This window comes from Homo sapiens, chromosome 16, assembly GCF_000001405.40.
Source record: "Homo sapiens chromosome 16, GRCh38.p14 Primary Assembly".
NCBI lineage: Eukaryota > Metazoa > Chordata > Mammalia > Primates > Hominidae > Homo > Homo sapiens.
In genome coordinates, this window is record NC_000016.10 from 20,780,193 (window position 1) to 20,806,884 (window position 26,692).

The window sequence follows — 26,692 nt, forward strand, 5'->3', positions numbered from 1 at the left end:
TGAATGGGCAATAACATTTTATTTACAGAAACAAGAGGCAAGTCAGATTTTGCCAGTAGGCTGTAGTGTGTTGGCCCATCAGTACCCATGGCTTTTACTAACATGTATTGTATTAACATACTCATTTTTAAAAAATCACATTTTAAAGCATCCATAGGGGAGGGAAGGGGAAAATTCTTCCTTATCCATGATTGCAAGATCACACAGACTCCTTACTCTGCTGGAGGTATGATAAAAATCTCAAGTTTTAAAAATGCTTCAATCCTTCTTTATCATAGAATAAAAAGCTAGGAAAGCAGCTATTATAAATGGGCCTTTGATGACAAAGTTTAGTTTTGATTCTAGAAAGCACCTAAAAGGATAGAGAAAGTGATGGCTTTTACCCTGTAATTCAAGCTAAGCCACTGGCACCTGATTCATGACATGAAGAGGTTCAAGTGGAGAGCTTCTCAAAATTTTTCAGTGGTAACAGTCTGTGATGCTGTGTTTAACATGCAGTCATTGTAGTTTTTCCTTTGCAGACATGCCAGTGACAGCCACACCTGTGTGAAGACAAAACACAATGAGATCATGGCCATATTCTTTACCAGTGGAACAAGTGGATATCCGAAAATGACTGCACACACCCACAGCAGTTTTGGTTTAGGATTATCTGTAAATGGAAGGTATACTTTCACAAAAGTGCAGCTTGAAGTGTCAAAACTGCAAAGATGATGACTTATGTACTGGTCTTTTATATTTATTTTCCTATGTACATCAGGGCTACTCTTTGTTTTCCCAGGTTCTGGCTAGATTTGACACCCTCAGATGTGATGTGGAATACCTCAGATACGGGCTGGGCAAAGTCTGCATGGAGTAGTGTTTTTTCTCCGTGGATCCAGGGAGCATGTGTATTCACACACCATTTACCCCGTTTTGAGCCGACTTCTATCTTGCAAGTAAGCCAAAGCACAAAGAGGTCAATATTTAGAAATGCATTAAGCAGTATGGCTGACAGAACTGGTGAATAAAGCAACTTGCAGAGATCAGAGTAGACAATATGATTTAAGATATGTCACATCCAGAAAGTCAATAAGCCTGAAAAGATACACTCGGCCCCCTCTGTATCCACAGGTTCTGCAGCCTCTGATTCTGCCAGGCACATATTGAAAATATTTGGGGAGAAAAACCAAAAACAAAATACAACAATTAAAAAAATGCAAATAAAAAATACCATGTAACAAATATATACATAGCATTTACATTGTTTTAGGCAGTATAAATAATCTAGAGATGATTTAAAGTATACGGGAGGATATGCATAGGTTATATGCAAATACCATACAATTTTATATAAGGGACTTAAGCATTCCTGGAACCAATCCTGCAGACACTGAGGGATGATTCTACAAGAAAAGGTAAGAATGTATTTACATTAACATAAACAATGTTTAAATTGTGCTGCGTCAACCAAAGACATTTAAGCACTTATTTAAGTTGTAGTAAGACCAAGAGTTTGCTTTTTCTAAATTGCAGACACTCTCCAAGTACCCCATCACAGTCTTCTGTTCAGCACCAACTGTATACCGAATGCTTGTACAGAATGATATAACCAGGTAAGAAATGTTAGTAAATAGGCATCTAGTGGGGAGAGGGGAGAAGAGGAAGCTATAAAATAAAAGATCTTTCTGCCTGAAACATAGCTCCAAGCCAGTAGACACAGGATTTAGCAATCTCTCCTCTTCCTCTTTCTCCTTCTTGCCTGCATTCTGTAAATGATAATTACTGTGACCAGGGCAAGATCCCCCAAACAAGAAGAAAGTGAGGGTTCAGCTATGTTTATAGCTCTAAGCCCAGTGGTTATGGGTAAGAAGATGGTAAATCTTTTGGATGATGGCTTTCTCTGAGCTGAGAAAGTAGAGAACTTGTTTCTATTTGGAACCTTATCCCAGCAGATAGAAAAGAGGATGCATATCTTTTATTCTATTGCTGATTCCATTTGAAAGGGTTCATTGGTAATCCAAAAAGAAAAACAACCCCCGTTTCTCTTTGTTTTGTTTTTGTTTTTGTTTTGTTTTGTTTTGTTTCAATAGGGTTTTGGGAAACAGGTGGTGTTTGGTTACATGAATAAGTTCTTTAGTGGTGACTTCTGAGATTTTGGTGCTCCCATCACCCAAGCAGTATACACTGTACTCAATGTATAGTCTTTTATCCCTCACCCACCTCCCACCCTTTCCCCAGAGTCCCCAAAGTCCATTATATCATTCTTACGCTATTGCATCCTCATAACTCAACTCCCAGCAACCACTATTTTACTATATTCACAACACTCAATACTCTGGGTCTCCAGATGTAAGGGATCTTTTCCCCCACATTGACCAATTCTCCAACATCAGTTGAGTATCCTATGATTTAATTCAGTCTGACATTATCTCCGTGGAGGCAGCATCATATCCCACAGGTTAATGACTCAGTCCCACAAGACTCTTTCCCATCTCAAATGCTAATCACAAGTCCAGGCTGTCACCTGCGCATATGACCAAATGGCTACAAATCAGAGGTTCCCATGACCCTTCCTTGGGTTTAGTAATTTGCTATGATGGCTCACAGAGTGCAAGAAAACACTTACTTACATTTCCCAGCTTATTATAAAAGATATGATAAAAGTTACAGATGAATAGCTAGCCAGATGAAGAGGTACATAGGGTGAGGTCCACAAGGTCCCAAGTGCAGCAGCTTCTATCCCTGTGGAGTGGGGGTGCACTACCTTTCCGGCACGTGGTGCTCTCCAAACCTCATACTTCAGGGATTTTTTTGGAGGCTCCATTATGTAGGCATGATTGATTATTAAGTCAATCTCCAGCTCCTCTCCTTTCCCTGAAGGATGGAGGTGAGGCTGAAAGTGCCAAGCTTCTGTTCCTGGCTTAGTCTTTCTTGTGACCAACCCCTATACGGGAGCCCCATTGAGAGTCGCCTCATGAGAACAAAAGACAATTCTATTACCCAGGAAATTCCATGGAATTTAGAAGCTCTGTATCAGAAACTAGAGTCAAAGGCAAAATATTAGAACAAAAGATACTCCTAGCACACCCATCACTTGGGAAATTACAAAGGTTTTAGAAGCTCTGGGCCAGGAACCCAGGATGAAGACTCAGTACAGGTTGAGTATCCCTTATCCAAAATGCTTGAGACCAGAAGTCTTTTGGATTTCAGATTGTTTTGGATTTTGGAATATTTGCATTATACTGGTTGGGCTGCCCTAATCCAAAAACATGAAACCTGAAATCCTCCAATGAGCATTTCCTTTGAGCATCATGTTGGTACTAAAAAAGTTTCAGATTTTGGAGCACTTTGGATTTTGAATTTTCAGATTAAGGATACTCAACATCTATGTATTTCTTGTTATAGCTCATATCACAGGTAAATATATTTAAACTGATGTTATTTAATTATCGAATAGGAAATAATTCACCTGCCATAAAATTCAAAAGGTATATAAAAATACATAGTGAAAAGTCTTGCTTCAAACCTTGTCCCCAGTGACCCAGTCCTCTTCCATGGAGGCAAACTGAGTTTCCAGTTTCTTGTCTATTCTCCCTGAAAATACACAAACTGATACACATGTGTTCTCCCCGTCTCAATTTTTTTTTTTTTGAGACGGAGTCTTGCTCTGTTGCCCAGGCTGGAGTGCAGTGGCACAATCTCGGCTCACTGCAACCTCCGCCTCCTGTTCAAGCAATTCTCCTGCCTCAGCCTCCTGAGCATGTAGGATTACAGGTGTGCACCACCATGCCTGGCTACTTTTTGTATTTTTAGTGGAGATGGGGTTCTGCCACGTTGGCCAGGCAGGTCTCGAACTCCTGATGTCAGGTGATCCGCCCACCTCTAACTCCCAAAGTGCTGGGATTACAGGTGTAAGCCACCACACCTGGCCTTTCCTTCTCTATTATAAACATAAATGGTATCACAAGATTCACACAGTTCTGCACCTTGCTTTTTTCCTCTAACAATACATTCTGGCACTGTGTTGTGCAATATGGTAGCCACTAACCACAGCTAGTTATTTCAATATAAATATTAAGTAAAATTAAAAATTCAATTCCTCAGTTATACTAGTCCTGTTTCTAGTGTTCAATATCCATATAGGGCTAGCATATACTGTAGTGGGTACAGCAGATTACAGAGTACTTCCATATAACAGAAAGTTCTACTGGGCAGCACTGTCCAAGAGCTTCCTCATTTTTCATAGCTGTATAGTATTCCATTGTATAAATATCCCACCATCAGTTTTACCAAACAATTGGTACTTTTCATTGCTGATTTAAAGTGTTATTATGGTGCTCACTTCAGCAGTACATACACTAAAATTGGAATGATACAGAGCAGATTAGCATGGCCCCTGCACAAGGATGACATGCAAATTTTTGAAGCATTCCATGAAAACATAAAAATAAAAACAAAATAAAATAAAATGTTATTATGGGGTACCTTCCCTAAGAACAGAATGACCTTCTTTGTAATAAATTATACCTCCACCACAAAAAGGGGGGTAAAGAAAAACTAGTATTTGGGGTATTCTAGTATCATTCTATGATATTAGAATGATTTATCTTTTTAATATCTTTATTTTTAATTTGTGTAGGTACTTAGTAGTTGTATATGTTTATGGGGTAAAATGGTTTGTTTTGTGCTAGGGAGAGGAATTAAAAAGCGACTAAAACATTTTATATTGAAGTTCATAAGAAATAATCCTTAATCTTCACTTCTCTCCATTTTTCCTCCTAAATCTAACTTATCTGGTTTTCTGAGAAGCTATAAGTTTAAAAGCTTAAAGCACTGTGTGAGTGCTGGGGAACCAATTACCCCTGACGTGACTGAAAAATGGAGAAACAAGACGGGCCTGGATATCTACGAAGGATATGGACAGACTGAAACGGTACCTGACCTCACTGAAAAGACATAGCTGGATTCCATTTAGTCAGATGAATAAAAACCAAAGTGTCCACAGTCTCCTTATGATTATTTGAGGGATAGGAGTTGAGTGGTTAGAAAATGTTTAAAAAAACAATGCTTGCAAGAACCTAATTGCAAAAAAGCTCTGTTAACAGATAGTTGTTTAAATAGCCATTCATTGACAAACACCACTGTTAATGGATCAGAGTAAGGGCATTACAATATTTTTTTAAATGAAATAATACTGGATCTACTGAAAGAAAGAATTCCTCCCAGTGTGATAGGGAAGTATCTTATTTAGGGCTGCCTCAAAATGGAAAATGCTGAGATCCTTGCTGCCTGAAATATTAAGAGTTTGCTGGACAACTCCTTAGCAACCATACTCTAAAAAGGATTTTTTAAAGAGCTCATAGAGATAAGGAATAAGAAATTCTAGAGGAAATGAATGAAATAAGAACAAAAAATGAAATAAGAACAAAAAATGAAATAAGAAAAAAGAACAACAGTGGTTATTTTGTAGAAGAGGGAGGAGTAAGATGAAATAGATAAGGGAAAAGTTGAAAAAACTTTTCACAATGTGTCTTTATAATGCTTCAATTTATGAACCATGAGAATGTATCACCTGGTAAAAAATGAAAATATCAAAAATAAAAATCAAAAATTGAAAAATTCATTAACTAGAAATAGCATAACAAGTATGCTAATATAAATGCAAATGTTAATATACTCATGTTTTGATAAATATGGATATATGAGTAATTATTGTTATAACTATATTTTATACATATGCATGTATTTATATGTTATCACTACATTCCATGAGAGTATAGCATTCATTTTGAGCCTAGTTCATAGTAAGTTTTCAATAAATAATTTGTTGAATGAATGCATGATAGATGAATAAATTTTAAGTGACTTGTAATGTTATCTTACTTTTTCTTCTTCTTAACTAGGTGCTAATCTGTGGAAATTTTAAGGGAATGAAAATTAAACCTGGCTCAATGGGAAAACCTTCTCCTGCTTTCGATGTTAAGGTTTGCACATCCCCTTCCAGGAGAATGTTTAACAACCCAATCTGTACACTACCTACCTACCGCTTACCCCCATATAAACTTTCTTTGTTATGATGGTGATTCCATTTTACTTCCATGATACTTTAATTTTTATAAATATGTGAAAATGATTAGAAATGTTAGCTTCTTGGTCTCCATTATTTTGCAAATACCCATATTGTACCATACAGTTCTAAGCATTTAATAAACGTTAACCCATTAGGCTGGATGCAGTGGCTCACGCCTGTAATCCCAACACTTTGGGAGGCCAAGGCGGGAGCATCACTTGAGCCCAGGAGTTCAAGACCAGCCTGGGCAACAACGTGAGACTTTGTCTCTACAAAAAAATATAAAAAACTAGCCAGGCATGGTGGTACGTGCCTGTGGTCCCAGCTACTCAGAAGGCTGAGATGGGAGGATTGCTTGAGCCTGGGAGCTTGGGGCTGCAGTGAGCCATGATCACACCACTGCACTCTAACCTGGGCCACAGAGCAAGACCCTGTCTCTAAATAAATAAATATTAACCCATTGAATTTCCAGAAGAAACCCTATGAGAAGCATACTAATATTAGAACCATTTTACAAACAAGGCACAAAGAGGTAAAAGAACTCACCAGAAGTCACACAGCTAATAGCTGCTAGAGTTGGGATTCAATCCCAAGCAGTCTGGCTCCAATATCTGCACTCTTAACCACAACACAACACTGGTCCTCTCAGGCAAGGGAGGTCAAGACCTTCTGAGCGGGTCAACTAGGCCCGAAGAGGCTTCAGTTTACAGTGGCTGCAGCACTTTCCCTCTCTGCTCCCAAGCCTGCCTGGCCATTTCCAGCCTCTCTGTATCCACTGCCACTACTACCACCTGATGCCTAGGGGGAATTCCAGTTCCCCATCAGCAAGCTTTATATAGGGTTAAAATTGTTCTCAGATCAACCGAGCTTCAAAGCTGGGTGTAGCCAAAGGAACTTAACACTAATTTGGACACTCCTCAACTTATGATAGGGTTATGTCCCAAAATAATAAGTCATCATAAGTTGAAAACATCCTAAGTCACAAATGCATGGCTGACTGGGAGCTGTGACTTACTGTTGCTGCCCAGCATCTAGAGAGAAAGATGGTTTCAACTGAATGGTTATCTTTTTCACCCATTGTAAAGTTGGGAAATAGTAAGTTCGAACCATTTTAATTCAGAGACCCATCTGTACGTTAAGAGACAGCAAAAGCAGCAAAAATATGGATGAATTAACAGAGTACAGCTCTTAGATAAATGTTTCCCAAGCTTGTTTGATCATAAACATCATATGGATATCTGTTAAAAATACTAATTCTCAGGCCCCTGGAGAGACCAATTCAATAGATTTGGAGTGGAACTCTGAAATTTGAAATCTTGTGATTTTAACAAGCACCCCCCAAGTAGTTTTTAGGATCAAATAAGTTTGAGAGAGTTTAGATGAGCTTGATTGCTGCTGTAACTCTTTATAGAATAAACCAGATCCTGGGTCCTTTCTCTCACTTTAACCTTGCTGTGGAAACCTGGTCTCAAGATAGGATAGCCTAGTGGTTCAACTATATCTCTGCTATTCACTGTCTGAGTGTCTGTGGGTACACTGTTAAAGCTCTGTAAGTTCCAGTTTCCTAATTTGTAAAGTTGGGACTAGAGTGACCAACCTGTCTGTTTGCCTGGGACTTATCTGGTTTTAGCACTTAAGGCAATACATCCTGAAGAACCACCCCCCGACAACCCCTCACCACTTCAGTCTCAGATGGTTGGTAAACCAAATAATAACAGAACTGATTTCATAGGTTTCTTGTGGTGATTAAAGGAGACAATATGTTTAAAGAGCATATCAGAATGCTTAGTACATAATAAAGGTCCAAAAGATGGGTACTGTTATTTACTTCTCCCTCACATTCCTCTTTTTATTTATTTATTTATTTTTTTATTTTTTCACATTCCTCTTTGAAAAGCTTATCTAAGAAAAAATGGTAGGAGAGCCCAAACAGGCTTAACAATAGTTTGTTGGTTAACAGGCTACCTTAGGTTGAAGAAAGAAATATTGATAATTAAGCACACTCATGTCTGCATTACAGGGAAGTTGATATGTAACACAGCTATGTTCTTTTTCTTCCTTCCTTAATAGCAATTCCCAACATGCATGGCTATCAGGGTCTTACAGGCACAGCTGTATTCACAGTGATCCCAACTGCAAGGTACCCCCACCTGCTCCCCATTAATTTGAGCCCAGTGGTTTTCTAGAGCAGCTATCTTTGAATGCAAATATGATGAGGCTGAGAGGAAAACAGTACTTTTTCTGCATCCCCAGTCATTTTTAACTCTTTTCCACGGGCCGTTATTATGGGGCTTCTTGTTCCTTAGCTAAGGGCATCTGCAGTAACATTCTGGCATCTGGGGATGTGTTCCAACCAGGTGAATATCAGATTCCTACAACTTCAAAGCCCAACCTTTATAATCTTCTTTGTTTGCTTTTAAATACTCATAATTTTCATGTTTAAACATTTTAAGACCCTATGAACAATGAGGAACATGATTCTCCCCAGACACAGAAGATTTTATCTATATTCCCATCTATTAAAATCTGTAAGTAACTGGAACTTTTAAAATACTTCCTTTCCATCAATAATTCCTTCATACCTGGAACCACATATTTCTTTAGATAACTGGGTGGGAATTTATATTTTTTTATTTGCAAGAGCTTAAAGAGAAGTTTTTACGCTTAGAATTCCTTTGCCATTTAAGTTTCTCATTCAGCACATAAGCCCCTTTCCTTTTGGAAAGTGCTAGATAAGTATTATACTTATTCTCCATGCAGGCCACACCTCAGGTTTGAAGGTATCTGGAGAATATATATAAAAGCAGAATTTTGATACTTAGAAACAGCTAAAAGTCATTTAGAGCAAAATCTGATGTATAAAATCAGCAATCAACTTGAGAAATGCTAATCTGATTTTTTTAATTGGATTAAACTCTCTAGAGGCATTGCACAGAGGAGTGTAATGATTAAAAGCATATGATCTGGAGTGTAAGTGGTGAGATTTGGATTCCAGCTCAATCATGCACAGTGTTAAACTCTCTACACCTCAGTTTCCTCATGTGTCAAATGGGCATAAAAATTCTAACCACATAGGGCTACAGTGAGGAATAGGTACATGTCAAGTACTTAAAGGTTTAGCATTAATTACTTAGCATGTATTAAGTACTTAATAAATGCTAGCTACTGGTAGACACTTCAGGGAATGATGAGGATTGGAGAGAGGGTAAGAGAGCAAGGCTGTGGCTTACTTACCATTGTCAACCAGAGAATATTCCCCTTTTCCTGTTTACTCATATTGGGCTTCTGAAGTAAGGTTCTGTAGGTTCCACAGCTAAACAAAGTTTGAAAACCAGTAATGAAGATATTTATTTATCAAGAGGAAAAGATAATCAAGACCTATTGCTAAATGATAAAAGCAGGTTGGCAAAACTGTATATTATAAAGCAACTCTATTTTTCTTTTTTTTTTTTTTTTTTTGAGATGGAGTTTCACTCATTGCCCAGGCTGGAGTGATCTCGGCTCACTGCAACCTCCCCATCCCGGGTTCAAGCAATTCTCCTGCTCAACCTCCCAAGTGGCTGGGATTACAGGTGCCCACCACCATGCCTGGCTAATTTTTCTATTTTTAGTAGAGATGGGGTTTCACCATGTTGCTCAGGCTGGTCTTGAACTCCTGACCTCAGGCGATCCACCCGCCTCGGCCTCCCAAAGTGCTAGGATTACAGGCATGAGCCACTGCGCCCAGCCAGCAATCCTATTTTTCGATTTATCTATATTGTCTCAAAGGATATTACCAAAATGTGATTATTGCTGGATGGTAAAATTTTTAAAAAATTTTATCCTGCGTTCACATGTTGGTAACCTGTATTTAATATTTTATGCAATAAGAATTTAAGTAAATATATTTCTCTTAGGAATTTAAAGTATATTTAAAATATTTTTGGGCCAGGTGCAGTGGCTCATGCCTATAATCCCAGCACTTTGGGAGGCCAAGGCTGGAATATCACTGGAAGCCAGGAACCAGCCTGGGCAACATAATGAGTCCCTCATCCCTACAAAAAATAAAAATAAACATTAGCTGAGCATAATGACATGTGCTTGTAGCCCCAGATACTTGGGAAGCTGAGGTGTGAGGACTGTTTGAGACCAGAAGTTTGACGCTGCAGTGAGCTATGAGCTATGATTGCACCACTGCACTCCAGCCTGGGTGACAAAGTGAGACCTTGTCTCACACACACAAAATTTTTTTTAAGTCTTCATTTTTAAATGGCAAAAGCCAAAATAAAACTTGCAAAGTTAATATTTAAGCTGCGACATTAAACAAAAATTTCCTTAAATAAATTGTTCTATTTTATCCTAGATTGTAGATGTAAATGGCAATGTTCTACCTCCTGGACAAGAAGGAGATATTGGCATTCAAGTTCTACCCAACCGACCATTTGGCCTTTTTACTCATTACGTAGTAAGTGACTTACTAAATAATCTCATTTTCTATTTATTTCTCAAGTGCTTGGTAACAATCCCTGTTTGCCACAAAACATACCTAGGATAGGTACTTGACCCTTTCTTGAGAGATTGGTTGTCCTGAATAGTAATCCAAAAGACAAGAAATTGAAGAAATACCCAAATTCTTGCTGAAGAAAAGCATGCTGGTCCCCTGAGGCCAGATCACTGTTCCAGGTCCACGAAGGCAAGAGGAAGGGACCCTAGAAAGAGGACAGCCTCTTAACATCCCCTGATCCTCTCAATTATCAAACAAAACCCACTCATTTTCCTGAAATCCAGTTAGTGCTCTTTCTTTTCGGGAAGAGTGAGAGGGACAGGGGATGCGGGGGTGGTGGGATTAAGCAAATGTCTTTCACAAGAGGCTTTCTAAGCTCCTTACTGTTTACAACAATATTTTCATCTCTAATCACAGTATACAAATTAGAGCAAAGTCTCTATCATATAATAAAAGATCCAGATGCTACTTGCCAGTGTATTTGATATAATGTAACAGTATCTTGTTTTTTCTTATGTCAGACTTGCAGAACCAATTCTATTATTGTGTAAAACAAAACAAAGCACAAAAACAAAACAAACCTGTCTGCTCTTTATTAGGTGTCAGTGCTTTCTTTTGACTCTTGAGTATTTACTTCTCTCTTTTCCTACCAGCATTATCTATTAATCAATTAGCAAAAGACTTAATTTAGTTTACTCCTCTGAGCTACTGCAATATTTATTTTGTAATCTATCTAAGAAAAATCTCAAGATGGAAACATGACTAATCTTTGTAACTGTAGTTTACCTTTCTTCTGTCGGGCTAGCTCCATGCTGGAATTTCATCTTTATTTTCACAATCTATCTCTTCCTAACTCTAATGCTTCTCAAAGGAGCCAAACTTTTCTGCTTCCTTGAACATTTAAAAATCCAATTGAGGGCCAGGAGCGGTGGCTTATGCCTGTAATCTCAGCACTTTGGGAGGCCAAGGTGGGCGGATCACTTGAGGTAAGGAGCTCGACACCAGCCTGGCCAACATGGGGAAACTCCATCTCAACCAAAAAATACAAAAATTAGCCGGGTGTGGTGGTGCACGTCTATAGTCCCAGCTATTTGGAAGGCTGAGGCAGGAGAATCGCTTGAACCTGGGAGGCAGAGGTTGCAGTAAGCCAAGATCGTACTACTGCACTCCAGCCTGGGTAACAGAGTGAGACTGTCTCGGAAAAAAAAAAAAAAATTCCAATTGACCAGAAGAGTTGGATTCACCATAACAACAAAATGCTATTTGTTTTGCAGGATAATCCTTCAAAAACAGCTTCAACTCTACGAGGCAATTTCTATATCACTGGGGACAGAGGATATATGGATAAAGATGGGTATTTCTGGTTTGTTGCAAGAGCAGATGATGTCATATTATCCTCTGGGTAACTTTCTTTTCCATATGTGCATATGTCTGTGTTAACTGATCATCAGTGTTCTAGAGTGAACCTGCCACTCACCTGTATGTATTCCTGCCATATGTGTTTCTAGCTATCGAATTGGACCATTTGAGGTAGAAAATGCCCTGAATGAACACCCTTCAGTTGCAGAGTCAGCTGTTGTCAGCAGCCCAGACCCCATCAGAGGAGAGGTAAAAGAACTGATTCATGTCAACTTTATAATTTGTTGGCAATTTAACACATACTTACAAACAGTAGCTCAGTGAAACAGAATTAACCAAATGATTCATTTACTAAATATGCAAGTCAGATAGAAATATGCTAGTCAGAAAGAACTGCTACAAAATAAGATTGAATTATGAGTTGCAGCTCTGATCCTAACAGACAAACAAAATAAGGCTGAAAATACGTACTAGAAAGAATTTGAATTCCTTCCGTGGTGGACTAGGGCAAAGATGGTGTGAATGCCAGTAACCCAGGCTCACGTCAGGATGGGGTGACAGAAGTCAGCTGGATGGGATCAAATTGTTACCCAGAAGGTCTGGAAACCAACGAGGTCCCTGGTGTAGTGAAGGAGAATGGGCTGGCATCAGATGTCAGAAGTGGGAACCAGAGGCTGGAACTGAGGTAACCATAAGCAGTCTTGGTAGGTAAATAAGTAGAGATTTCAGGAAATAAACTCTGAATAACACAGGTGTCCTGAAAGCCCATTCCTATTGGGGCTGACCACACAGTATTTTGGCTTAAAAGTACCATGCCAGGCAGCCTCCTGCGTTTTGCCTGTGTGTCTACAACATGCCCCTAGGGTTTCTCTAGCTGAGTTACAAGTTCTCACAAGTATTTCTTCAAGCCATATCCCTTCTAACACTGAATCCAAGTTTTGAAGATGACACTGATGTCAATACAAATCCAGAACTTTCTGTACCATGTATTCAAGCTCCTTATCTCAAATCCTAGGTATAGGGCTTCAAGCACAGGGCACAGGGCAGAGTTAGAAGGTATCCAATCTCAGGGGATGAAATAGGTCCTGAAGTTTAAGGCAGGCCAGGCACAGTGGCTCACACCTGTAATCCTAGCACTTTGGGAGGCTGAGGTGGGTGGATCACCTGAGGTCAGGAGTTTGAGACAAGCCTGGTCAACATGGTGAAACCCTGTCTCCACTAAAAATACAAAAATTAGCCAGGCATGGTGGCACACGCCTGTAATCCCTGCTACTTGGGAATCTGAGGCAGAAGAATCACTTGGACCCGGGACGGGGAGGTTACAGTGAGCCAAGATCGTGCCACTGTGCTCCAGCCTGGCTAACAGAACAAGACTCCGCCTCAAAAAAATAAAAATAAAAATAAAAAAGTTTAAGGTAAAAATAGGAGATGTGCATGTTACAGTGGAGGGTGGATCTCCCCCCAGGACTGATTCCCCTAACTGATCTTTGATGCCAGAAGATACCCTGTTAAGTCCTCCTGGATGGCCCAAAGTTGTTCCAGATATAGCCCAGTGGCTGGGAATTGGTAGTTTGTCAAGTTGCTAGGATGACAATCGCTATTTACTGTGAAAGGGTATATTCCAGGCAGCTGAGGGCAGGGAAAACAGTCAGTGATTATTGGCTTGTCTCTTTGCTCTGAACATCATCGGCAAGGTTTCACGAGTCTTAGCTCTTCCTGTACTTCTCCCCTACCATTAGTCATCATCAGTTTTACCCACCTAGACAGGTGCTTACTAGGGACAGGATGGTAGCTGAGCCTTTCGGAACAGGGTTAGCTTGGCAGCCACCTGATATCCTAGCGTACAATATAGGAAAGGTCTATAAGTGGGTTGTGGTCCCCTCACAGCTCCGGGGGCTTGGCATAGGGCTTGGATTAGTCAGAGTGAGGGGGAAAGTGTGGCCAGTTTTCCAACAGTGGTAGGCTGCAGCATTTCCTAGTAGAAGATGTGAGTGGGTATCTCAAACGAGGTATCCATGAACAAAACGGCCATGTGCTCCATGCCTCCCTTTCTGCTGCCAGGCCTATTCTACCTGGGTTAGGTCCTTCTCTAGGCTGGGTCCTGCCAGGCAGGGTAATTGGGTAGCAAGTTCCAGAATTGATTAAAAAGAATATTTGGATTTGAAATACCATTTTAACATTGGAATGTGAAAGACTTGTGGAATATGTGTCTAGATCACTAGGTTCTTAAATTTTTGGGATCACATATCTCTTTGAGAATGTGAAGAAAACCATAGGCCACTGTTAAGACTTATGCAGTGATGGAAATGTTCTATATTTGCACCATCCAATGCGATAGCCATGCATGGCTATCAATCACTTGAAATGTGGCTAGTGTGACTGAGAGTATTTAATCTTATTTAATTTTAATTGATTTAAATTGAAATAGACACACGTGGCTAGCAGCTATCATATTGAATGGCACAGCCATAGACTTTTCTCAGAAAAATACAAGATTTTGCATAGAATTTCATAGAGATTTGAAGCCCACTTATGGATTCTGGGTTAAAAAATAAGACCCAAACTTCTTGTAATTCTAAGACTACAACTAAGAGCTAATGTTTTTGATGACTTACTATGTGCCAGGCATTATACATCTATGCTAATTCATTTAATCATCATAATCTCTTTTACAGAGAAGGAAACTGAGGCACAAAGAGATTACCTAACTTGTCCAACATTACACAACAAACTGTGACTTGAACCCAGCTGTTCTGACTTCAGAGTTCATACTCTTACCCATGTTAGGTTGTTCCTTGTTAATTTAACATTTTCTGCAGTAGTTTAAAAAGATAAAAGAGACTATCCAAGTTGTAGAAATCGTCAATATGTGAACCAGTATTGCAGTTTTTAAAATAATTTACCTTTGAATGACTCACTTACAACAAGCATAATTTTTTAATTTGTAAAAATGTTAATGCAGCAGAGCTAGCATAACTACAAATGCATTTTATAAAATGTCAAAAAGTGAATGGAACAAAATTATATCCATAGACACACACACACACAAGGGTTCACAACTGCCGCATGGCACATGTAAATTAAAAATGTTCAAGTGTTGTTGTTGTTTTTTTTCTTAGAGACAAAGTCTCACTATGTTGCCCAGTCTGCTCTCGAACTCCTGGGCTCAAGCAATCCTCCCACCTCGGCCTCCCAAATGTTGGCAGTACAGGCGTGACCCACTGTGCCTGGCCACAAGGGTTTTGGGTAAAGACAAAAATGGGTAATTGTTCATACAATGTAAAACTGCCCACTGGTGAACAGTTTTCAATATGTGAAAAAATTATAACTTCAAGTCTTTGTTTCTCACCAAATGGCTGTCCTGGTAATTTGTTGTTTCAAATAATTCCTTTTCAATGAAATCTTTACTCCCAGATCAAAGTGGATAGGAAATGTTGCCAGCTTATCTTTAAGCTGGACAAACGAATCCTTGAATTTAATAAGATTTCAGGCACCTAAGTGCAGGATACTTAATCATAAAAAAGCTTCAGGGGACTCTCCTGGAACTGTGCCTACAGGGAAGCATCATTCCATAGCCAGCTCCGGGCTGGTAATCTGGCGTTGGAGGTACATACTAGTTGATGCACCTAGACTCATGCCTCTAGGGAAGGCAGTAAATGGCAGTCCTGGTAGTGCCCTAGGAGAGAAAATGACAGGACTCCAAATTTACTTTTAAAGGGGGCTATGAGGGATGGCCTATCTTTCTGTCTTCTCCATTACAGGTCCAAAAACTAGGCAGAGTTTTCAAAAACATTTCTAGGAAGGATAAAATTTGGAGAAGAGGATTTGTAAGCATAAAGTAATAACATCTTTCTTGGCTTCTGCCAGTTAAAGGCCACCATGATTTCCACTCTTGTTCCTCAGGGCCATGGAAATGGATCAGAGCAACAAAAAAATAGCTGCTGGAATCTTCACAGCCTTGTATAAAGACTGCATGTTCTCTGTGAACTGTTCCCTTCAACAAAGACATGGCAAACTCAGCGTGACTACTGTTTATAAGTAATCCCCCATGCTGAGGGCTAGGCTGGATGAGGCTGGGTTGTTACAGGGGTCCCAGAAGCTCTCCTGTATTAGGTACAGACCAGGAAGTGGCTGGCTTAAGAGCACAGAGCTGGGATCAAACTTTATTAAAACACACTGGCCCACCCCACCAGGCATGTAGATTCTCAGAGCAAGCAAACAAGACATACTAAAACATACAAATGCATAACTCATTTTCCTGGTGTTTCAAATATTTATTTTAGGTAGTAAAGGCTTTTGTCGTTCTAAATCCTGATTACAAGTCACATGATCAAGAACAACTAATAAAGGAGATTCAGGAGCATGTTAAAAAAACTACAGCACCTTACAAATATCCCAGAAAGGTAGGCATCCTAATTATAACGAATATTTGCTCAGTGTTGTGGACAATTTCAAGTGTTTATTTTTACATTTTAATGAATATTTTCTTCACACATGCTGCACCACATGTCCCAAACTGAACTGATGACATATGGGTAAGAATCAGAATCTTTGAGATTAAAATGAAACCCTGAACCTATTTTGTTTGGTCCTTTGGCTTACTGGACTCACAGTAAATACTTAATATCAAGACAACTTTCCTAACAATACCCTTTTCCCTATTTTGGCTGTTACCCAAAACCCATTCCAAAGACTATTCTAATTCTTCCACCTAGAATTCATAATCAAACTGCTATATAATTGGCTTTATGTAAAGATAAAAATTTCCAGGCTAATTTTCTTCCCCTTGATGCCAACAGGTAGAATTTATTCAAGAGCTGCCAAAGACTATCAGTGGGAAGACAAAAAGAAATGAACTGAGGAAGAAAGAATGGAAGACAATTTAAAGTTGTTTCATTAATTACCATATCTATAAAACAAACATAGTATCTGTCAATCTCTAGAAACCACAAGATGATGGAGAGGTCATAAAAACTGTGGTAGTATGCTTAGAAACTGTTGATTTAAAATATCTTGTGGTTATGATATCAGAGGCTAAATTTTGAAATAAAATATTTGGCAAATTCCTCCACATTAGTGTCAATGTTCCTATCATTTCTTAATATAAAAATAATACCATCAATTGCTGATTAATTTTTAAATGTATAGTATAGAAGCAGTTTCTGAACCAGATCTCTGCTACATAGGTTTTCAAACTTTAGTTGACTAATTCTTCTGATATGTTGATATACAAATCAGAACCAATGTTCAAGCCTGAAATAAAACTAAAGAACTTATAAAAGTTTTTAGAAAAATATAAAATATCAGTTAGAAGATTATGATAATCTCAAAGTACAAGAATCTACCTGAAAATAGACTAGGGATTTTTATTAGTCACATTTTTTGCAAATAATTTAAAAATAGTTTAGACTTGTTTCAAGGTCTAACTATAAAAGAAGGATCATATACTATTGTTGCTTATTATATGTAATCTAATAAATACTGTTTACAAAAGATTACACTTGTGGTTCCTGAAGAAAGTATGGTAAATGCAGTAAACATTAATATATAAAATAAAAATAAAATAGTGTAAGATGTTATCAGAATACTCATGTTTGGAAATTCAAGGAACAATTAGGATTCATACATGAAAGGTTATCAATTCCTCATTGAAGGCCTGAGTCTCAAAGAATTTTTGGTGGAAATACTTAAATTTCTGTCACAAATATGGCTTGTTTCTGGAGAACTAAAAGTGAGTCCCCCTGTGGAATGAGATGGAACCATGCTGTTGGCTCTTTCCTTTTGAAGTGTTTGTTCCCATTTGAAATAACCACAACATTTTCTGTTTTCTTGGTATTTCCCGATAGGGCAACAATAGAAGACTTTTCCATGGTTCGGTCCATTATTAGAAACAACAAGTCTCTTAGATCTCCGACCACACTTGCATAATGGAGGTGTCATTTTCCCACTCTTCCATGGCTCTTGTAGGTTAACTGTAGAAGTTAATATAGATGGGAGACGCCTCCAGGAAGAACTTCTTACTGGGGAGCAATCAGATGATGTAGGCTTTTCTTCATGAATAGTGAAGGGTTGTTTTTTTGCTGGTGGGAAAGCTTGGGGACTGCATGGATTCCTTTTGGTACCACCTGAAAGAAGAGGATGTTTCCCCAAAACTAAAGGATGAGACATATTGGCATTAACTCTGTTGAAGGTACTTGATTTGTGTTCAGGTAACTTAAAGGCAGAAATATCTGAACCTGGATCTTTGGCTTCTTTTACATTATAAATAGTAGTGTGAGGACTCTTGTACACAATAGACTTAGAAGTCTCAGATTTTTGAGGAGTTTCCTCTATGTCTCCAAAGTTTTCATGACTTGACATTTCCAATTCTTTCAAAACCATTAATCTTTCTCCAGAATTAAATGAAATCTCTAAGTCTGAGTCACTAATGGGAACTGTACAGTCTACGTTTTCCTCAGGCTGAGATGCTGGCAGTAAAACCACATCCTCCCAATCAGCCAACACAGGTAAACAGTCCAGAGTAGAGCTCATTTCCAAATCAGAAACATGATGAACAGTTGGAACGGTGGTAGAAACAAGTACCAATTCTGAACCAACTGTTGAAGCCTTAGATTTGGTATTAAATGCAAGATGTTCATTTTTTCCTTGCTTTTGCATATAGATAGGTGAATTCAAGGTAGGAGACTGCAACTGCCCCACAGAAGTAGAGGACTTAGTATTAAAAAGAGGTAAGGAACTTTTGACATTGTGAAGACTTGCTTTTATATTGTTTTTTACTTGTAATTGATCCTGTTGTGCCTTTATAGGAGAATTTGCACAAATTGACTTCATTTGAACTTTTTCATGAGGATTTATTATATTTTTAGGCTCCTTATTATATATGCTGGGACCCTGGATGCTAATGTTACAGGCAGACATTTCTTCAACTTGAATTGTATTCAAATTTCTGGCCAGAATGCTGAAATTCTTCTTAGTGGGAACCTATGATTCCACAGACAAATGCAACAGCTTTAGAAACTGTGCATTCGTTAATTTCTTCAGTATACAGTTTTATGACAAAAAAGAGAAATGTCATTGATTTATAAATGACTGCACACATTAAATCTACGTTTCAAAGAACGTATGACTGTTTATGAAGTTTGAGATGACAGAATAAAAAGGCAAGACACTACTAACCTTGTTCAACGACCTTGTAATTTTCATTACACAACCATCTCTGATCATTTTCCAAGCAAGAAGGGCAGTATTCCGAGAATCGTCCAACCCTGAGGATACAGATATCAAACACTGAATTTAGTGGTACTAGTACTATTTCCTTAGTACTAAAGAAATAACTTAAAAAGAAAAACACCACTTGTGTAGAAATTGGAACACAGTTTTAGTTTTATGACCATCTACTAATTTTAATCATGATAAACTGGTCTTGGAAGTGGAAGGCTATGGCAGCATTACCAGTGAAAGACAAGCTCGTCCACATTTATAGAGGAGGATATGAAAATGTATTAGACAGTTCCCCAAAATGTGGCCAGCGTTCTGCAGGAACCAGGATTTGTGAATAATCTAATAGTCTTGTTCAGTTTTTTCACTAGTCCATTCTATTATTTGAGCACTTGTTTAATCTCCATTTGATTTGGCTCATTCTTTTCATTCTTCTTAGCAACTAGAAAGCCACTAGATGGCAGTGTATCTTACAATAGTTTATGAAAGTGGTAATTTGAAAGTCTTAGAAACAATGTGAATTGTTTAGATTAGGAGTTTTTTTTTTTTAGGCTGAAGATATCCCTTACTAATGACATTACCAAAAAATGAAATTCATATGAAGTATTTTTTAAAAGTCAAATGGCTTACATAATTTTTAATGTATACTAACCAGAATGTTCTCGTCCTGAGAATTCTATTCCTACTTCCTGCAAGGCACCACTTAGTCCTTTTGGTTTTCTCCTATAGAAAAGCTAACCAATAAAAAAAGATATATTTAAAAGAAGATTACTATTTTAAAGACTATGTATTAAACACTTTTCATAATTTTTAGTTCTATTAGATTTAGAATGTGCTTATTTTTTGTGTGTTGTTTTTAAATACTTTAAGAAATGCATTTATGTGACCAGTACAAAAGAAAGTATCTTCTTTGCAGAAACCCATGCCCATGTGTAGGATAAAAGTTAATCATTTTTCCATAGAAAAAAGTAAACATGCCCCCATTTTTTACCATTACCTTGTAAGTTGCTCTGAGATCAATCCAAGAATTTAAAAACACAGGTTTTAACAGCTGCTTTCTTTTACACTCATACTCCAGGCAAACCCCCAAGTCCCAGTCTGCATTAGGTACATTAAAATAGAACAAAGTCAATGATGCCAGCATTTTTTACTTATGCTGCCACCATTTACAAATAGAATGCTAGAAGATCATATAAAATAGAACAGTATGATTTCATTGCTCTGCTAATATCTAAAAATTATTCACTTTATATAACTTACTATTAACAAGTTAGGTTGATGACTAAATTTCAAAATGATTTCTTAAACACCCAGTAAAACCTTATTTCAGAAAGAAGAGTAACATGTTAAATTACAAGGACTATATTTTCTATATTCTAGGAAAATATTAATGTTATTGAGAAACCAAACATTTTATAGTAACTGGAAACCAAATATGACTATCAATGCTATCTTATCAATGACACAGTATTGCTATTAATGACTATTAACAGCAATGCTCTAACACAGTCATACAAAAAACCTACTTTAAATGGCTCATTTTTTTTTTCTTTTAAGTGTCAAAGCATAAAAGCAAAGGATGTTGAGCTGATGAAGACTGTAGAAAATAGCATAAGAGTGTTCACTAAATCATCTTTGCTTAATTCTTAACAGTGGAACTCTAGAAACATTTTTTTAAGTTCAGGCTTAATATTTTAAGGTATCCCAAAAGGTTAATTTAAAAAATATGTATTAATTTACTTTTCTTGGCTAACATCTGCTAGGCATTTAAATTTTTTTTCCTAGCCCAGAAGATTAACAAACATAATTCTAGGTTAGCAAGTATAAAACTAGAAATAAAGAATTACATAGTGGTAATGCTACCCATCTGTGATTAATAGGTATAACTTATTCTTTACCTGACCAAGTAACAAATGCACATAATTTTACTTCAGAAGCAGAAGGCTCTGAAATCCCAGTAGCAAAAATAATGTTCTTCTGTTGCTGAATCTTATGAATCCATTTACAGAACTGAGATAAGCAAATCTTCAGAGGGACTCCTTCATCAACTTGAGCCTGAGTAGAGAGTCACAAAAGCTGAATTCAACAATCAAATTCCATTATTATTTAGCATGTTTTATAACTGTGGAGAAAGATTAATGGTTTTAAAAGAATCAGAAATGCCAAGTCATGAAAACACAGTGTACTGTGGGAAGACATAACAAAGTGGTTCTAACTGGCAAAGAGTTTATTTAGTGGAAAGAGGTAAAAACACGTGGGAAAGAAAGAATATTTAGAACCCACCAAGGTAAGAAAGATTAGGTTGATAAAAACTAAAATCACACAGAAATATGATCATTAAGTCCAGACTGACATAAATCATAGACAAATTTGAGTCACTTAATTTCCATAAAATCAATTTGATCCTCATTTTTATAACATTATTCTTCCTTTGCTGTGTATTTATTTAATTTTTAAAATTTATTTTTTTTTGAGACGAGGTCTTGCTTTGTTGCCCAGGGTGGAGTGCAGTGGCATGATCTCAGCTCACTGCAACCTCCACCTCCTGGGTTCAAGTGAGTCTCCTGCCTCAGCCTCCCAAGTAGTGGGAATCACAGGTGTGTAACACCATGCCTGGCTAATTTTTGTATTTTTAGTAGAGACGGGGTTTTGCCAAGTTGGCCAGGCTGGTCTCGAACTCCTGACCTCAGATGATCCACCCACCTTGGCCTCCCAAAGTACTGAGATTACAGGTATGTTCCTTTGCTTTTTAAATCGAGTCCTGAGGTGACTCACGCCTGTAATCCCAGCACCTCGGGAGGCCAAGGTGGGCAGATCACTTGAGGTCAGGAGTTCGAGACCAGCCTGGCCAACATAGTGAAACCCTGTCTCTATTAAAAATATAAAAATTAGCCAGATGTGGTGGTGTGTACCTATAGTCCCAGTTACTCAGGAAGCTGAGGCATGAGAATCGCCTGAACCCAGGAAGCAGAGGTTGCAGTGAGCCCCGCCACCTTACTCCAGCCTGGCCAACAGAGCATGCCTTTGTCTGAAAAATAAATAAATAAATACATAAATCGAGTCCTGAATCTGGAATAACACTAATCTTATTTATTTATTTACTTATTTATTCATTTATTTTCAGAGACAAAGTCTGTCACCCAGGATAGACTGAGATTATACCTCCCTGCAGCCTCAAACTCCTGGGCTCAAGTGGTCCTCCCACCTCAGCCTCAGCCTCCCAAGAAGCTGGGACTACAGACACATGCCACCAAGTCAGGCTAATTTAAATTTTTTTTTTTTTTTTTTTTAGAGATGGGGTTCTCACTATGTTGTCTAGGTTGGTCTCAAACTCCTGGCCTCAAGCAATTCTCGAACATCAGCCTGCAAAGTGCTGGGATTACAGGCATAAGCCATCATGCCTAACACTAAATAAATCTAATTTCAAATGGTATAATAACTTTTATTTTCTTTTTGAAACTGACTTCTGAATTTTAAGATTTGCATCATACCTGCTTTATGCCTGTCAATTCCATGCAAAATTCTGAAAGAATTGGATGTTCCTGAGGTTGAACATAAGCCTGGAACTCAGAGTCAATCTGTCCAGTTGATGTGTTCAGCAACACTGCTGGAAACTCAACTAAATGAAAGAATAATCAATTGACAGTTGAATAAATAATTTTTAAATTAATCCTGTAATCATCCTAAATTAAACATGTTACCATTTTAATTAAACAACCAGTTTTCAGTAAAAGCATACTAAAATGACCAAAGCAGTGTGACATAAAGGTTATAATAAAGTTATGCTAAAGTCAAAATATTGAAGTTATGAGCATGTTGTCTTAAAAGAAAACAATATAATTAAATAAATATAAAAACCATATGGAATATAAAATTTACTTTTTTTGCAAAGGCATTTTTTTCAGTTTCTATGCCATTGAGGTGTTGTATGTAATATAAAACAACTATTTTATATAATAACACATTTAGGTATTTGAGATTTTGCTCTTTTTTATTCAACATAAGTTTTGCATTAAACTACCAATGCATAGACCATCCTGTTTTCTTAAACTTTTGGCTGATTCAGATCTATAAACTTTAAAGTGACTCATCTAGTGCCAGCTTTGGCCATTCGTAGCCCAGACTTACTTATTTCCTGGCTATGGTGGTGCTTCCCATCATTCCAGCATGTCGATTCAAAATCAATGACAATTAAGTAGTCAAACAACTGCTCTGCAAAAGATCAAGTTGTTCTTATGCTTTACCAGTGCTGAAAATGCAAGGCTACAAAATGCAAAGAAACTAAGCATACTACTCACTGGATTTGCTTCTTCCGAGATTTCCATTTGCTGGCGCAATTGACTTTCTCCTAATTAATCCAAGCTGCCTAAAAATGTGAAGCAATCCAAATATGATCAATGAACTCATTCACACTCCTGTTTGAGTAGGCTACCAAACTAATGGTACTGGGCAACAATCTCATTATTTATTGTGACTGAGGGGAAATCGAACTGGACTTTGGCTTTACCTGCACAGGCCTCGAAAGTACATATTTGCAAATTAGGCTAATTTGTTGGTTTTGTTTTTGAGACAGGGTCTTGCTCTGTCACGTAGGTTGCAGTGCAGTGGTATGATCACCACTCACTACAGCCTTAATCTCCTGGGCTCAAGCAATCCTCCCACCACAGTCTCCTGACTAAGACTACAGATGCATGCCACCACGGCCCATTAGTTTTAATTTTTTTTTTTTTTTGAAGGCAGGGCCTCACTATGTTACCCAGGCTCATCTCGAACTCCTGAGCTCCAGCAATCCTCCCACCTCAGCCCCTCAAAGTGCTGGGATTACAGGCCTGAGCCACTGTGTCCAGCCAATTTACACTAATTTTATGTTACCCTTGTTTTACAGTAATACTGAGTAACTCATTTGAGTTCCTACAATCATTTGATTGTAGAGGTAAAAATGCACTGAAAATCTTATTTTTCCCCCTGCATTTTTTAAGCTCTTGCTATGTGTACAGTGCAGTTTTAAGAAGACAAGACAATGTAGGACATGGTTCAGTCTTCCAGTTTAAAAATCTGGGTAAAGAAACAAAAGATAGGGCCAGGTAAAGTGGCTCATGCCTGTAATCCCAGCACTTTGGGAGGCCAAGGCAGGTGGATTGCTTGAGCTCCGGAGTTCGAGACCAGCCTGAGCAACATGGTGAAACCCCGTCTCTACAAAAATTATAAAACCTAGCTGGGGCGTGATGGTGCATACCTGTAGTCCCAACTACTCAGGAGGCTAAGGTGGGAGGATTGCTTGAGCCCGGGAGGTGGAGACTGCAGTGAGCCGAGATCATGCCACTGCACTCCAGCATGGGCAACAGAGCGAGACCCTGTCTCAAAAAAATAAATAAATAAAATAAAATAAGAAAAAAAGAGAAGAGCTTACTGAGGTCTTAAGTGCAAGTAAAACAAACTACTTGGTATTAGCAGGTAGAGTTTTAACTAGGCAGACACCTCCTGTAGTTTTCTGTGTTTGCTAAGAGTGGGAAGTGCCAGGATTTGGGAATAATAAATATCATTTATTGACTGCTTACTACATAGCAGGTACTAAAATTAAACTAAGATGATGGCCTCCTTTAATCCTCAACAAGTGTAGTAGCTAGAAACTTTTCCTACCTATATTTTATGGATGAGAAAACTGATTCTTAATTTGCCAAAGAACATAGCTTTGGTATGTGAACCCAAGACTGTCCAATTCTGAAGCTCATGCTATTTGCTATTATATTACATCTTTCTAGTAATCAGAAATATGCACAGCGCATCCAGGAATCAGGGAGGACACAATAATTCATATTGTGAATTAAAAGGATCACTAGGCCAGGCACCGTGGCTCACACCTGTAACCCCAGCACTTTGGGAGGTTGAGGCGGGTGGATCACCTGAGGTCGGGAGTTCGAGAACAGTCTGACCAACATAGAGAAACCCCATTTCTACTAAAAATACAAAATTAGCTGGGTGTGGTGGTGCATGCCTGTAATCCCAGCTACTTGGGAGGCTGAGGCAGGAGAATGACTTGAACCCGGGAGGCAGAGGTTATGGTAAGCCGAGATCGCACCACTGCACTCTAGCCTAGGCAACAAAACTCCGTCTCAAAAAAAAAAAAAAAGATCACTAGAAAATGGGTTTGTAAAAAGTAGAGGTTCCTCTTCAAAGACTTCCTTCCCCGTCTAATTAGGAATAAATAGTAACTTCTCTTAGAGCAAAATTTATTCAAAGACCTGTGCTAACATTCTTAAATATCTGCTAGATATAATAAAGAAATCAATGTACTTTATGTTCTTAGCTCCCACAATTTAGCCTAAATATTTGCCCTGGCATGCTTATACTGGTCCAATCAAACATTAGGTCATAGCCTGTTCCTCTTCCTTACTTAAAAGTGTTTTTACCTTTCTCAGCATTCCACAAGTTACTTCCTTCTTCCTTTGTTCTCCTCTGCCTTTGCCTCTTTTAAAAAGTTCTATGTTGCTAGTCAGTCGGGACAAATACAGAATGTGAGGTCCCGTTCCAGCCAAAGGAAACCGGACACAGCAGTAGGGTGGACGCGCCACGTTATAAATGACCCTGTCTCCTTTGTTCAGTGTACTCTCCTGGCAAAACTGCTGGCGAGTGTACCCTTTCTGCAGGAAGTAAAAATGGCCTTACTAAATAAATTAAATTTAAGTTTAAGTTCTATTTCTTTACAGCACCGAGGAACGAGCATTTCGAACAGGTTGAACACCTTGACAGATTCAGTGTGTGGCCTGCCTGAGACCTCCAACCAGTCTGCAGGGCACTGTCACGTCCAGTCGTTTCCCAAGGCCTAAAATAGGCAGGCACTGGCTCAAGGCCACACAGTCAAGGCCCCAGGGTTCGTCCGCCTCGGGCTCCTGTCACCCTCGGGTAGAAGGTGGCCCAAGGCTGAAGACCGAGGTCCAGGGAGGCGCCTTTCCAACCGTGCCAGAGAGGGCAGGTCGCAGACGCCGGGGCTGCGGGGAATAGAGGCCCTCACCGCAGATGCCACCTGCCGTGCCCTGCTCTGCGGCCAACGCCAGCGCTGGACCCGGAGCTACCCGCCCCCGACCCGGAACTCCCTCGAGTACCGCGCGAGCCGCTTGGTCGCCATTCCCGACACTCCTTGCTTTTCCAAGTCCAGCTGCCGGAAGTCGCTCGACTTCTACTTCCGGTCCGTTCAAAAAGCCCGCGAGGCTGAGGGGCGGTTGTTGTTGGCAGCTGTGGCTAAGGAGGGGAGAACCTCTGCTCCCCGCCCGTCTTCTCTTCTGCGTTTCCCGGGCTAGGGGGCGTGGGGAGTGGTTTTAGGCGGCGAAGCCGCTCGGCAGCACCTTCCTTCTTTGCCAGGCAGACGCCCGTTGTAGCCGTTGGGGAACCGTTGAGAATCCGGTAACCGATGCGGACGGTAAAGCCGTTTGGGTTAGAGCGGCGCGGGTGTCCAGTCCGCGGAACGGGGAGATCGTTGGCACCTTCGCTTTTTTAGGGGAACGGGGATAGTTCGGTAAACTGAATTGAGAAGCGGATCCGAGGGAGGTTGAAAGCTGTCAAGCCCGTGTAGCTCTCCCGCT

The 26,692-nt window shown here is 39.0% G+C and overlaps 3 protein-coding genes and 1 pseudogene across 43 annotated transcripts in view, besides 2 other annotated features; 3 read left to right on the forward strand and 1 right to left on the reverse strand.

The window, feature by feature from the left end:
* ACSM3 (acyl-CoA synthetase medium chain family member 3) overlaps window positions 1-17,389 on the forward strand; it is a 123,177-nt gene extending 105,788 nt beyond the window's left edge. For 18 of the 30 annotated variants that reach the window (XM_047434427.1, XM_047434421.1, XM_047434424.1 and 15 more), the window contains 9 exons: window positions 522-665; window positions 782-938; window positions 1,516-1,595; window positions 4,792-4,915; window positions 5,886-5,966; window positions 10,395-10,496; window positions 11,810-11,937; window positions 12,044-12,143; window positions 16,178-16,965. In XM_047434427.1, coding sequence (XP_047290383.1) covers window positions 522-665; window positions 782-938; window positions 1,516-1,595; window positions 4,792-4,915; window positions 5,886-5,966; window positions 10,395-10,496; window positions 11,810-11,937; window positions 12,044-12,143; window positions 16,178-16,414 — 1,153 coding nt within the window. In that variant the 3' untranslated portion in view covers window positions 16,415-16,965. Of the gene's footprint in view, window positions 1-521; window positions 666-781; window positions 939-1,515; window positions 1,596-4,791; window positions 4,916-5,885; window positions 6,123-10,394; window positions 10,497-11,809; window positions 11,938-12,043; window positions 12,144-16,177 lie in introns of those variants that run through there. The other 12 variants (XM_047434437.1, XM_024450368.2, XM_047434435.1 and 9 more) reach the window with 2 other exon arrangements.
* Window positions 1-26,280, reverse strand: ERI2 (ERI1 exoribonuclease family member 2). Of its 2 annotated transcripts, NM_080663.3 has the most exons (11): window positions 26,216-26,280; window positions 23,411-23,478; window positions 23,241-23,324; window positions 22,604-22,731; window positions 21,011-21,167; window positions 20,110-20,210; window positions 19,765-19,846; window positions 19,071-19,159; window positions 10,658-10,740; window positions 9,287-9,365; window positions 1-542 (listed from the first exon to the last, which is right to left on the reverse strand). In NM_080663.3, exons 1-11 carry the CDS (start codon window positions 26,236-26,238, stop codon window positions 450-452), a joined length of 987 nt encoding a protein of 328 aa, NP_542394.2. In that variant the 5' UTR covers window positions 26,239-26,280; the 3' UTR covers window positions 1-449. The 2 variants fall into 2 exon arrangements, with proteins under 2 accessions (NP_542394.2, NP_001136197.1); NM_001142725.2 differs by lacking the exons at window positions 1-542; window positions 9,287-9,365; window positions 10,658-10,740 and adding an exon at window positions 16,148-18,875.
* On the forward strand, window positions 4,317-4,423 carry RNU6-944P (RNA, U6 small nuclear 944, pseudogene; annotated as a pseudogene).
* Window positions 25,476-26,421: an enhancer, noted in NCBI's record as "H3K27ac hESC enhancer chr16:20816990-20817935 (GRCh37/hg19 assembly coordinates)". NCBI's record gives its function as "activates a minimal SCP1, AML or CMV promoter by ChIP-STARR-seq in naive H9 embryonic stem cells {active_cell/tissue: H9 hESC(naive)}" and the evidence as "EXISTENCE:reporter gene assay evidence [ECO:0000049][PMID:30033119]".
* Window positions 26,170-26,279: an enhancer, noted in NCBI's record as "active region_10540". NCBI's record gives its function as "activates an Ori minimal core promoter by ATAC-STARR-seq in GM12878 lymphoblastoid cells {active_cell/tissue: GM12878}" and the evidence as "EXISTENCE:reporter gene assay evidence [ECO:0000049][PMID:35858748]".
* The window catches only part of REXO5 (RNA exonuclease 5), a 43,241-nt gene continuing 42,781 nt past the window's right edge, over window positions 26,233-26,692 (forward strand). For 5 of the 11 annotated variants that reach the window (NM_030941.3, NM_001144924.2, XM_011545964.3 and 2 more), the window contains exon 1: window positions 26,335-26,513. The gene's annotated coding sequence lies outside the window, so the exon portion shown is untranslated. Of the gene's footprint in view, window positions 26,299-26,334; window positions 26,654-26,692 lie in introns of those variants that run through there. The other 6 variants (NM_001199053.2, XM_047434726.1, XM_005255604.3 and 3 more) reach the window with 4 other exon arrangements.